The 12,608-nt window shown below is 51.1% G+C and overlaps 1 protein-coding gene across 3 annotated transcripts in view; it reads right to left on the bottom strand.

The window, feature by feature from the left end:
• CLIP2 (CAP-Gly domain containing linker protein 2) overlaps positions 1-12,608 on the bottom strand; it is a 116,529-nt gene that overhangs the window by 43,618 nt on the left and 60,303 nt on the right. For all 3 annotated transcript variants that reach the window (NM_003388.5, NM_032421.3, XM_047420800.1), the window contains exons 4-7: positions 8,314-8,438; positions 5,695-5,908; positions 4,841-5,038; positions 2,040-2,143 (exon numbers count right to left, since the gene is read on the bottom strand). In NM_003388.5, the coding sequence (NP_003379.4) occupies positions 2,040-2,143; positions 4,841-5,038; positions 5,695-5,908; positions 8,314-8,438 (641 nt within the window). The remainder of the gene's footprint in view (positions 1-2,039; positions 2,144-4,840; positions 5,039-5,694; positions 5,909-8,313; positions 8,439-12,608) is intronic.

Raw genomic sequence — 12,608 nt, 5'->3', positions numbered from 1 at the left:
GCTGCCTGGGGACAGGGGAGGGAGATGTAGGTATCTGGGCATCATCTAGGAGGTAGAGAGGATCCCAGGCCAAGGCAAACCTCTGTCCACTGTCAGCTTTGTGTCCTACAAGGAGGTGACCCAGGACCAAGTCGGCCAGAGTCCCCACCGCCTGGTGTCTTTGGTTGGAGGGCTGCAGGGGAGATGGGTCCCACTTGTGACTTTTTTTTTTTTTTTTTGAGGCGGAGCCTCGCTCTGTTACCCAGCTGTACTGTAGTGGTGTGATCTCGGTTCACTGCAACCTCCACCTCCTGGGTTCAAGCGATTCTCCTGCCTCAGCCTCCCGAGTAGCTGGGATTACAGGCACCTGCCACCATGCCCAGCTAATTTTTGTATTTTTAGTAGAGACAGGGTTTCACCACGTTGGCCAGGCTGGTCTCAAACTCCTGACCTCAGGTGATCCGCCTGCCTCGGCCTCCCAAAGTGCTGAGATTACAGGCATGAACCACTGCATCTGGCCTTGAAAGCGATGACACCAGCGAAGCACACAGCACAGGGCTGACACCTGGACACAGGGCATTTCAGGAGTCCCTTGGCTGCTGTTTCTCTTAACTTCAGTTTCCTGATGTGTAAAATGAGAATGGATACAAAAAATTAGCTGGGCATGATGGCGTGTGCCTGTAGTCCCAGTTACCTGGAAGGCTGAGGTGGGAGGATCGCATGAGCCCAGAAGGTTGAGGCTGCAGTGAGCCATGGCCAAACCACTGCACTCCAGCCTGGGTGACACAGTGAGACCCTGTCTCAAAAAAGAAAAATAAAGGAGGCTGGGCGCGGTGGCTCACGCCTGTAATCCCAGCACTTTGGGAGGCTGAGGCAGGTGGATCACCTGAGATCAGGAGTTTGAGATCAGCCTGGCCAACATGGTAAAACCCCATCTCTACTAAAAATACAAAAATTAGCAGGGCTTGGTGGCCATGCCTGTAATCCCAGCTACTCGGGAGGCTGAGGGAGGAGAATTGCTTGAACCTGGGAGGTGGAGATTGCAGTGAGCCGAGATCGCACCATTGTACTCCAGCCTGGGCAACAAGAGCAAGACTCTGAAAAAAAGAAAGAAAAAGGGAGGGAGGGAGGGAAGGAAGGAAGGAAGGAAGGAAGGAAGGAAAGAAGGGAGGGAGGGAGGGAGGGAAGAAGGAAGGAAGGAATGAATGGAGGGAGGGAGGGAGGGAAAAAAGGGGAAATGGATTCCCAGGACAGGAGCTGTGAGCTCCACTCACAGGTCTCAGTCCAGGGTTGGGGAGGGGCGCACTGTGAGTGTGAACTGGCTCATGGTGGAGGGGTGGGGCATTCAGCCTTCTTCCTGGTGCACGGCTCCCCAGGGACACCTGGTGTGATAACCAGCCTCCCTTCCACCACCCCCAGCCTATTCCTCTTCTCAATATTCTGCTGGAGAGTGCAGGAACAGTGAACTCTATGCAATGAACAAATGCGGTGTTCCAAGGCCAGGCACAACGGTTCATGCCTGCACTTTGGGAGGCCGAGGCGGGTGAATAGCCTGAGGTCAGGAGTTCGAGACTAGCCTGGCCAATGTGCCAAAACCCCATCTCTACAAAAAATACAAAAATTAACCAGGCGTGGTGGGGGACGCCTGTGGTCCCAGCTACCCAGGAGCCTGAGGTGGGAGGAGCACTTGAACCCTGGAGGTCAAGGCTGCAGTGAGCTGTGATTGTGGCTCTGTACTCCAGCCTGGGTGACAGAGTGAGACCCTGTTTCAAAAAAATTTTTAAAAATGTGGTGTCCCTCTGTGCCCGGCACCGTGCTGGGTGCTTTACTCCAGTTATATGAAGAGTTCTCCCAACTGCCTGCAGAAGACAGGACCAACACCTCACTTTACAGATAGGAAGACTGAGGCCCAAGAGTTAATGTCACCAGTCCAGGGTGACACAGCCAGAGGCAGTGACAGGGGCAGGACTGGAACCTGGGTCCGCTATTCCCAAGCCTGCCCTCTTCCTCATCCTCCTTAAGGGGACTCAGGGCCAGGGCGAGGGTGGGCCAGCACGTACCTCCTCTCCTCCTCCAGCTGGTTGGACAGGTCCACCTTCTCTTTCCGCACGCTCTCCACGAGCAGCCGGGCTCGCTGCAGCTTCTCCTCGGCTTCTGCAACATACTGGGCCCCCAAGGAAGGCCAGGACAGGGTCAGCATGCTCCGGGGTATGGGGTCCAGGTTGGTGGTGTGGTGGGAGACAGGCAAGGAGCAGGGCCTGGAACCCCAGTCACCCCAACTTCCCTGCTGGCACCTGCCGGGCATGCACAGTGGGCCTAGGTGTGAAGGAGGGGACCCAGTAGGAACAAGAGAGGCAGAGGCAGGACCCTTAGGCCCACCTGCCCTCAGTACCTGCCTCCCGCCTCAACCCACAAGAGCCTAAGACCTGTTATCTTGCAAACCTGCTGTCTTGTCTGTGCTCCATCAAAGCACAGCCATGAACTTGGCCTATTGATCCTGGCATCCAAGGAGGGGCAAGCCAGACCCCAGATGGGGACAGAGGCCCAGAAGGGAACTCTCCCACGGGAGACAAACATCAGAGAAAAAACCAGACACGAGATAGCAGCAGCCCCAAGGCTTGGGGCAAGGAGTCACTTTCCTGAAATTCAACCCTAGAATCTGCTCAAAAAAATAATCTGAAATGGGCCGGGTGCAGTGGCTCCTGCCTGTAATCTCAGCACTTTGGGAGGCCAAGGCGGGCGGATCACAAGGTCAGGAGATTGAGACCATCCTGGCTAACATGGTGAAACCCCATCTCTACTAAAAATACAAAAAACATTAGCTGGGCGTGGTGGTGGGCTCCTGTAGTCCCAGCTACTTGGGAGGCTGAGGCAGGAGAATGGCGTGAACCTGGGGGGCGGAGCTTGCAGTGAGCCAAGATCACACTACTGCACTCCAGCCTGGGCGACAGAGCGAGACTCTGCCTCAAAAAAGAAAAAAAAAAAAAAGAAACCTGAAATGTAGACAGTCATACATTAAAAAAAAAAAAAAAAAGTTTACTGCAGTGATATGTAGAAAGAGTGAAAAATTGGCCGGGCACGGTGGCTCACACATGTAATCCCAGTACACTGGGAGGCCGAGGCGGGCTGATCACTTGAGGCCAGGAGTTCAAGACCAGCCTGTCCAACATGGTGAAACCCCTTCTCTACTAAAAATACAAAAATTAGATTAGCTGGGCGTGGTGGCACACACCTGTAGTCCCAGCTACTAAGGACGCTGAGGCAGGAGAATTGCTTGAATCCAGAGGCAGAGGGTGCAGTGAGCCAAGATCGTGTTACTGCACTCCAGCCTGGGTGACAGAGCGAGACTCTGTCTCAAAAAAAGTGAAAAATGGGAAATAATCTAAACAACAGGGGACTAGTCACGTCAGATGTCAGTAAGGACAAAGCCTGTGATAGACAGCAATGCAGACATCAAGATGGGGAAGAGGTGGGGCACGATGGCTTATGCCTATAATCGCGGTGCTTTGAGAGACCAAGGTGGGAGGGTCACTTGAGGCCAGGAGTTTCAGACCAGCCTGGGCAACATAGCAAGACTCCGTCTCCACAAAAAAATACAAAATTTAGCTGGATGTGGTAGCGTGCACCTATAGTCCCAGCCACTCAGGAGGCTGAGGTGGGAGGATCACTTGAACCCAGGAGTGGAGCTATGATGGCGTCACTGCACTCCAACCTGGGCAACAAAGCAAGGCCCTATCTCTAAAAGAAAAAAATAAAATAAAAAAAAAAAAGAATGATGAGGAATTTGCCAGGACCTAGAAAATGCTTGCAGTATAATAAGTAGCCGGGGAAGAAAAGCAGATTAGGCCAAGTGCAGTGGCTCACACCTGTAATCCTAGCACTTTGGAAGGCCAAGGATTGCCTGAGGCCAGGAGTTCGAGACCAGGCTGACCAACACAGCATGACCCCATCCCTATATTAAAAATATTTTAAAAAAATAAAAAAGCAGGGCTGGGCATGGTGGCTCACACCTGTAATCCCAGCACTTTGGGAGGCCAAGGCAGGCAGATCACTTGAGGTCAGGAATTCCAGGCCAGCCTGACCAACAGGGTGAAACCCCATCTCTACTTAAAATACAAAAATTAGCCTGGTTTGGTAGCAGGTGCTGTAATCCCAACTACTTGAGAGGCTGAGGCAGGAGAATCGCTTGAACCTGGGAGGTGGAGGTTGCAGTGAGCTGAGATTGCACCACTGCCCTCCAGCCTGGGGAACAGAGTGAGACTCTGTCTCATAAAAAAAAAAAAAAAACCCTTGCAGTGGCTCACACCTGTAATCCCAGCACTTTGGGAGGCCAAGGCGGGTGGATCACGAGGTCAGGAGTTCGAGACCAGCCTGACCAACATGGTGAAACCCCGTCTCTACTAAAAGTACAAAAATTAGCTGGGCATGGTGGCACATGCCTGTAATCCCAGTTACTCAAGAGGCTGAGGCAGGAGAATCGCTTGAACCGAGGAGGTGGAGGTTGCAGTGAGCCGAGATTGCACCACTACACCCCAGCCTGGGTGACAGAATGAGATTCCGTCAAAAAAAAAAAAAGAAAGAAAGAAAAATAATAAATAAATAAATAATTAAAAAGCAGGATATACAAGCTTGTAACCAGATTCTGAAAGTAGGTGTATGTATCCTTATACATAGGCAGAAAAGACTGGAAGGAAATTCACCAGGTCACTGAGGCTTATCTCTGGAAAGCGGGGGACAGGTACTGCTTGTGTTATCTTCATATTTCTCTGCACCCACCCCCTCCAGGGTCTCCGCTCTGAGTGGGTGAGACTCTATGAGGCTGGCTGGAGAAGCTCTGCCCCCAGCCCCACCTGCCACTCACCTGCTCATGCTGTGCCTTGAGCAGGGCAATCTCCTTCTCCACCTCGCAGATGTGGCTTGTGGCCTTGGCCACCTCAGCCCGTTCCAGGTCTCGTTCAGCCAGCAGCTGCTCAATGTGCTGCTGCTTCTCCTTCAGTGCCTCCTGCAAGGCCGTGGTGCCCGAGATCTTGCGGGCGTAGCGTGAAGAGGTCTCCGTGAGCTGCAGGAAGGTGTGGATGCAGGCGGGTCTCAGGGATCTGAAGCACTGCAGGGCAGACTGGCTCTGTCCAGCCTAATCTACAGCAACATAGCAGGTGGGAGCCCAAGTGCCTTGACTCCCAGGGTCCTGCTCTTCCCCTGCCAGTACTCTGACATCCTGGCCCCTGCTGACTCACCCAGCGGGGAATCTTGATGTTTGAGATTCAGGAAACTCCCCATCTCAGGAGAGTCAGCTCCTGATAGCCAGAGCCTCTGACTCCCTCACTTTGGCCACTTTTTCCTGGGAAAGGAGGAACCTCCAATCCTAGATTGGGTTTGGACAGAATGCCCTCTGCCCATAGCCACCAAGCAGCCTCCTCTTTTCCCTTCATCCAGGGTTTGATGCCAACCTTTCTGAACTCCCTGCCCTGCATCTGTATAACCCTCCTTAACTTCCAGAGAAAGGCTTAGGGTTCCAATAAATCAGTTATATAAAAACAGCAATAAAGGTAAATGGCTCAATTTTCCCTATTAAAAGATATGCACTTTCTTCTTTGTTCAAAAATCCCAAACTGGAACTAGAGTAAGTCAGGGGCAGACCAGAACACCTGGATCTCTTACATCCTCACCCCTCCCAAACGCACACCAGAGAATCCCCTTCTGCAGCCCCACCCTCACCAGGCCACTGCGGCTGGGCCGACCCCCCACGGAGGAGGCCACAGAGCTGACGGAGCTGATGGAGGAACTGCTGGGACTGTGGGTCAGTGCTGACACACCCATGGCCATACGCTTGGTCTTCTTGGCCTTGGCTGGGCTGGTAGATGGGAAGCCGATACGGATCACTTTGTGGATGGGCGCGAAGAGACCAAACTTGGGTGGGCACTGGAAGTACCTGTGGAAGCAGGAGAGACCCAAGCTGCTGTCACGGCCCCAAAGCCTGGAGAGCCTCCCCTGCCTCCTCTGCCTCTTCAGAGCCTGGCAGAAAGAGAGAAAGACACCTCCTTGGGGCCCATGTGGAAAGACACTCCAAGGTGGAAATCTTCCAGGTGGAGAGATAGGACTCTCAAAAAAAGGATATAGGTGAGTAGGGTCTGAGAGTCTCTGCAGCTGTGAACAGCCAATGAGAATACTCTTGGAAGTAGGAAATAATTACTGGGACCCACTTTGTGCCAGTCTCTTTAAATGAATGCTCATTTCCATCCCCCAAAGTTATCTACATTCACAAATGAGAAAATTTAGGCTCAGAGAGGTTAAATAACTTGCCCACAGTCACACAGCTGGTTACGCAGCAAAGCTGAGACTGGTCCTCCAGTGTGCTGGGCTCCAACACCCGCTAAGCTTGGCTCCCACAGACTGTTCAGAGACCCCAGCCACAGCTGCAGCCCCACTTTCAGGCTACCCTCAGACCATCCCCAGAATGAAGGATTCCCATCAGCTCTCTGCCCACAGAATCCCTGCATAGAGAAGCAAAAGCTTGAAAGAGAAACCTTGGGGTGGGATGGGGACTGCTGTCCAACCCACCCCTGAATTCTGAAAGCAAAAGTGAGTCAAAAGAAACATTCATCTTGCAAACAGGAAGGCAAAGCATTGTTATGGAAACCCTGGATTCTCGTCTTCTGTCAAGACCTCTCTGGTCACGGATTCCACACTGGACCACGAGAACTGGGCCCATCCAGTTTTTTTCTTTCTTTCGAGACAGGGTCTGGCTCTGTTACCCAGGCTGGAGTGCAGCGGTGCGATCATAGCTCACTGCAGCCTCAACCTCCTGGGCTCATGCAATCCTCCCACCTCAGCCTCCCAGGTAGCTGAAACCACAGGTGTGTGCTACTACGCCCAGCTAATTTTTGTATCTTTTGTAGAGATGAGGTTTTGCTATATTGTCCAGACTAGTCTTTAACTGCTGGCTTCAAGTGATCCTCCAGCCTCAGCCTCCCAAAGTGCTGGGATTACAAACATGAGTCACCATGCCTGGCCCCCATCCAGCTTCTGATTCACTTGAAACCGCTGCCCCATTCTGCCTTTTCCCACCTCCAGGTCTTTGTTCATACTGTGCTCTCAGCCCCTGCCTAGCACAGCCTCTCTCAAGCCTCTTCCAAAAGGAAACCCTACCTTCTTTCGAGGCCTGGTCCAAGCCTAGCTCTTCCCCTGTGCCATGGTGACCACTCCTGCTCAAAGCAGTCACAGCCTCGTCTCAACCACAGACTCCAGTACAGGGACTGCACAGGGACTCAGGTGGCCTCACCTTAGTCCACATCCGTGACAGACATGGTCCACTTACCACATCACTCCCCCACCTACCATAAGCCCAGACACAGCCTTAGACCCTCCTAACCCAGCAACGCCAGCAGTCAATTCCTTTTCATCAGAGATGCTGTGAGACCTGGAACCCATCTGTGAGGCCTGCCTCTGGCCATATAGCGCTGGGCATTGTCTGATTATTTCATGTGTCATTCAGGGGACCCCAATGCCAGATGACAGGGACTGCTGCCTCACCTTTTATTTATTTATTTATTTATTTTTTATTATTTTTTTTGAGACAGTCTTGCTCTATTGCCCAGGCTGGAATGCAATGGCGTGATCTCAGCTCACTGCAACCTTCGCCTCCCGGGTTCCAGCAATTCTCATGTCTCAGCCTCCCAAGTAGCTGGGACTACAGGTGCATGCCACCATGCCTGGCTAATTTTTTTGAGACAGAGTCTCACTCTGTCACCCAGGCTGGAGTGCAGTGGTGCGATCTTGGCTCACTGCAACCGACGCCTCCCCAGTTCAAGTGATTCTCGTGCCTCAGCTACCTAAGTAGCTGGGATTACAGGCGTGTGTCACCATGCCCAGTTAATTTTTTGTATTTTTAGTAGAGACGGGGTTTCACCATGTTGGCCAGGCTGGTCTCGAACACCTGATCTCAAGTGATCCACCTGCCTCAGCCTCCCAAAAGGCTGGGATTACAGGCATGAGCCACTGCACGCAGCCTCCCTCTCCTTTTTGAGGGCTCCCACCCCACTTAGACATGAGTGACACAAAGAAGAGAACACGGGGACAGATTCTCTTGGCGCTTGCCTGTGACTGTGCGACCTTGAACAATGACCTCCTGGCCTCCATACTCTCATCTGTAAAATGGGATGATAATCCCACTACCCAGCTTAGTGGGCTGTTGGGAAGGAGGGAATGGGAAAGGACTTATGGTGTCTGACACTACATGCTGGACACTCGCTTCCTCCAATGTCCCATCTCCATCCCCTGCGCCCACCCTGGGGAGAGGAGCCCCCTCCCATACTCCCCAGAAGAAGCCCACCATACCTGGTGCCCGCCACCGCCCCATCATTCTTCCCAAGGGGCTCGTCCAGCTCCACGCCACACCACTCGCCCTTGGCAAAGTCTGTCTCCCCCACGTACCGCACCACGCCAGTCTTCGTCCCGCCAACCTGTCGGCACACAGGGAGACTCAGGTCTAGAGGATGCAGTGGCACAGGCAGAGATGGCAGGGGCACCCAGCCCAGGCTTATCCCATCCATCCCTTCCAGCATGCAGAGGACACGGGAGCCAGGAGTGGGGAGGGAGAGACACCTAAGGATGATTGAGATGGAGACAGGTTAACCAGTGCCTCCCAGGGCTGACACAGGCAAGGGCACAGGCTTTGAAGACAGACACACAGACCTGCATTCAAACTCTGTCACTTAGAAGCTGTGTGTGCCTAGGCAAGTTATCTAACCTCTCTGAGCCTCAGCATCTTCATCTGTAAAAGGGTTTTCGGGGCTGGGCATGGTGGCTCATGCCTGTAATCCCAGCACTTTGGGAGGCCAAGGTGGGCAGATCACCTGAGGTCAGGAGTTCAAGACCAGCCTGCCCAACATGGTGAAACTCCGTCTCTACTATAAATACAAAAATTAGCCGGGCCTGGTGGTGGGCACCTATAATCCCAGTTACTCGGGAGGCTGAGGCAGAAGAATGGCATGAACCCAGGAGGTGGAGCTTGCAGTGAGCCGAGATTGCGCCAGTGCACTCCAGCCTGGGCAACAGGGCGAGACTCTGAGTCAAAAAAAAAAAAAAAGGGTTTTCGTGAGAATTAAGTACTGTATATACGGTGTCTAGTATATACTAGAGCTTCAATAAATGGTAACCCTAAAAGCAGTTTTTCTTTTTCTTTTTTTTTTGAGATAGGGTCCTGCTCTGTTGCCTAGGCTGGAGTGCAATGGTATAATCATAGCTCACTGTAGCCTCAAACTCTTGGGCTTAAGCAATCCTCCCACCTCAGCCTCCTGAGTAGCTGGGACTATAGGTGTGTGCCACCATACCCAGCTAAGTTTTTAAAAAATTTTTTGTAGACACAGGATCTTGCTATGTTGCCCAGGCTGGTCTCAAATTCCTGGTCTCAAGCAATCCTCCTGCCTCAGCCTCCTGAGTAGATGGGGCAATAGGTATGTGCCACCACACCCAGCTAAGTTTTTAAAAATTTTTTGTAGACACAGGGTCTTGATATGTTGCCTGAGCTGGTCTGGAACTCCGGGCTTCAAGCAATCCTCCTGTCTCAGCCTCCCAAAGGGCTGGGATTTATAGGTGTGAATCACCACACCTGGTCCATATCTAAAAATTTTTTTTTTTTTTTGAGACAGTGTTGATTCTCCTACCTCAGCCTCCTGAGTAGCTGGGACTACAGGTGCGCGCCACCACGCCCAGCTAATTTTTGTATTCCATATCTAAATTTTGATCTGACTCCAGGATTGCAGTACTATGACTAAGTAGATAGTACTCATAGATGAGGATGATGTATTGTAGTTACTTTTCCTTTCCAGAAATTTTTTTTTCCTATAAATAACTATCTTTGATGATTGTCTGCCTAGTGTTTTTTTTGTTTTTGTTTTTGTTTTAAGACAGAGTCTCACTCTGTCGCCCAGGCTGGAGTGCAGTGGCACGACCTCAGCTCACTGCAACCTCCACCTCCCGAGTTCAAGTGATTCTCCTGCCTCAGCCTCCTGATTAGCTGAGACTACAGGCATGCACCACCATGCCCGGCTAATTTTTTTGTATTTTTAGTAAAGATGGGGTTTCACCATGTTGGCCAGGCTGGTCTCGAACTCCTGACCTCAAGTGATTCACCTGCCTTGGCCTCCCAAAGTGCTGGGATACAGGTGTGAGCCACTGCACCTGGCCTGTCTGCCTAGTTTTAATAGTCTCAATACTAATTCAACCCCAACTCTTTCAATAGTCTAAATCTCCTGCCAAGATGCTCAGAGGCATTGGGAATTTTATCAAGTTCTTTCTGAAGATGTCTCTCCCGGGACCCACTCCCAGCTGGGCTGGCTGCTGGCCTCTCTGGAGTGCGGCCATTGGCCTGGAGTCTCCTGTCAACCATTTCACCTCTGTCCTGGGCTTGCTCCTGTTTTCTGGATCCCCTGACTCTTCTTTCTTGGTTTACTACTTATTTTAGGTTATGTTATTGTATTTTATTTTATTTTATTTATTTATTTTGAGACGGAGTCTCACTCTGTCGCCCAGGCTGGAGTGCAATGACGCGATCTCCGCTCACTGAAACCTCCGCCTCCCAGGTTCAAGCGGTTCTCCAGCATCAGCCTCCGGAGTAGCTGGGATTATAGGCGTTTGTCACCATGCCCGGCTAATTTTTGTATTTTTAGTAGAGACGGGGTTTCGCCATGTTGGCCAGGCTGGTCTCGCACTTCTGACCTCAGGTGATCTGCCCTCCTTAGCCTCCCAAAGTGATGGGATTACAGGTGTGAGCCACCACGTCTGGCTGGTTTACTACTTATTTTAGTAGAGCACATCTTCCCACAGCTTTCTAAGAAAAGATGCACGAGGAGGTAAATTTTCGAGCTTTCTATATCTGAAAATGTTTTATTCTTTTTTTTTTTTTTTTTTTTTTGACACTGGAATGCAGTGGCGTGATCTCGGCTCACCACAACCTTGGCCTCCTGGACAAGCGATCCTCCCACTTCAGCCTCCCAAGTAGCTGGGACTACAGGCACAGGGCACCACGCCTGGCTATTTTTTGTAGAGATGGGGTTTCGTCACATTGCCCAGGCTGGTCTCAAACTTCCGGGCTCAAGCAATCCATTTGCCTCAGCCTCCCAAAGTGCTTGCCTCAGATTATAGGCGTGAGCCACCGTGCCTGGCCAAAATATTTTATTCTCTTTCTTTCTCTCTCTCTCTCTCTCTTTCTTTCTCTCTCTCTTTCTTCCCTTCCTTCCCTTCCCTTCCTTCTTTTTCTTTCTTTCTTTCTTTCTCTTTCTTTCTTCTCTTCCTTCCCTTCCTTCCCTTCTCTTCCCTTTCCTTCCTTCTTTCTTTCTCTCCTTCTTCTCTTCCTTCCCTTCCTTCCTTTCCTTCCCTTCCTTCCTTTCTTTCCCTTCCTTCCTTTCCTTCCCTTCCTTCCCTTCCCTTTCCTTCCTTTCTTCCTTCCTTCTTTCTCTCTCTCTCTTTCTTTCTTTCAACAGGCTCTCACTTTGTCACCCATACTGGAGTGCAGTGGTGCGATCATGGCTCACTGCAGCCTGAACTCCTGAGTTCAAGTGATCCTCCTGCCTTGGCCTCCCAAGTAGCTGAGATTACAGAACACACCACGATACCTAGCTAATTTTTGAACATTTTCTAGTAGAGATGAGAGCTCACTATGTTGCCCAGCCTGGTCTTGAACCCTTGGCCTCAAACAATCTTCCTTCCTCAGCCTCCCAGAGTGCTGGAATTACAGGCGTGAGCCACTGTGCCTGGCTCACTCTTTTTTTTAATGGAGGTAAAAATTCACATAATGTAAAATTTACCATTTTAACCATTTTAAAACATATAGGGCCCAAAGATGGTGGCTCATGCCTGTAATCCTAGTGTTTTGGGAAGCTGAGGCAGGAGGATCACTTGAGGCCAGGACTTTGAGACCAGCCTGAGCAATATAGTGAGACCCTCATCTCTATAAAAAATAAAATACAACAATAAAAAATAAACATACAGGCCAGGAACAGTGGCTCAAACCTGTAATCCCAGCACTTTGGGAGGCCAAGGTGGGTGGATCAGCTGAGCTCAGAAGTTTGAGACCAGCCTGGGCAACATGGTGAAACCCCATCTCTACTAAAAATATAAAAATTAGCTGGGCGTGGTGGTGGGCGCCTATAATCCCAGCTACTCAGGAGGCTGAGATGAGAATCGCTTGAACCCAGGAGGCGGAGGTTGCAGTGAGCTGAGATTGCGCCACTGCACTCTAGCCTGGGTGACAGAGTGAGACTCCATTTCAAAAAATAATAACCATCATCCCAAAGAGAAGCCCCATACCCAGGAGAAATCACTGCCTGTTCCATCTTCCTGACAGCCCCTGACAACCCTTAGTCTATTTCTATCCTATCGCTACAGATTTGTCTCTTCTGGACACTTCATAGAAATGGAATCACACGGCTGGGTGCAGTGGCTCATGCCTGTAATCACAGCACTTTGGGAGGCCGACGCAGGTGGATCACTTGAGGTCAGGAGCTAAAGACCAGCCTGGCCAACATGGTGCAACCCTATTTTTACTAAAAATACGAAAAATTAGCGGGGCGTGGTGGTGCACGCCTGTAATGCCAGGTACTCCGGAGGCTAAGACAGGAGAACCTGTGAGG

The sequence above is a fragment of the Homo sapiens genome, chromosome 7 (assembly GCF_000001405.40).
Source record: "Homo sapiens chromosome 7, GRCh38.p14 Primary Assembly".
In the NCBI taxonomy this organism is placed as follows: Eukaryota; Metazoa; Chordata; class Mammalia; order Primates; family Hominidae; genus Homo; species Homo sapiens.
Note: the sequence above shows the minus strand (reverse complement) of the source record. Positions and strands in the feature narration are given on the sequence as shown.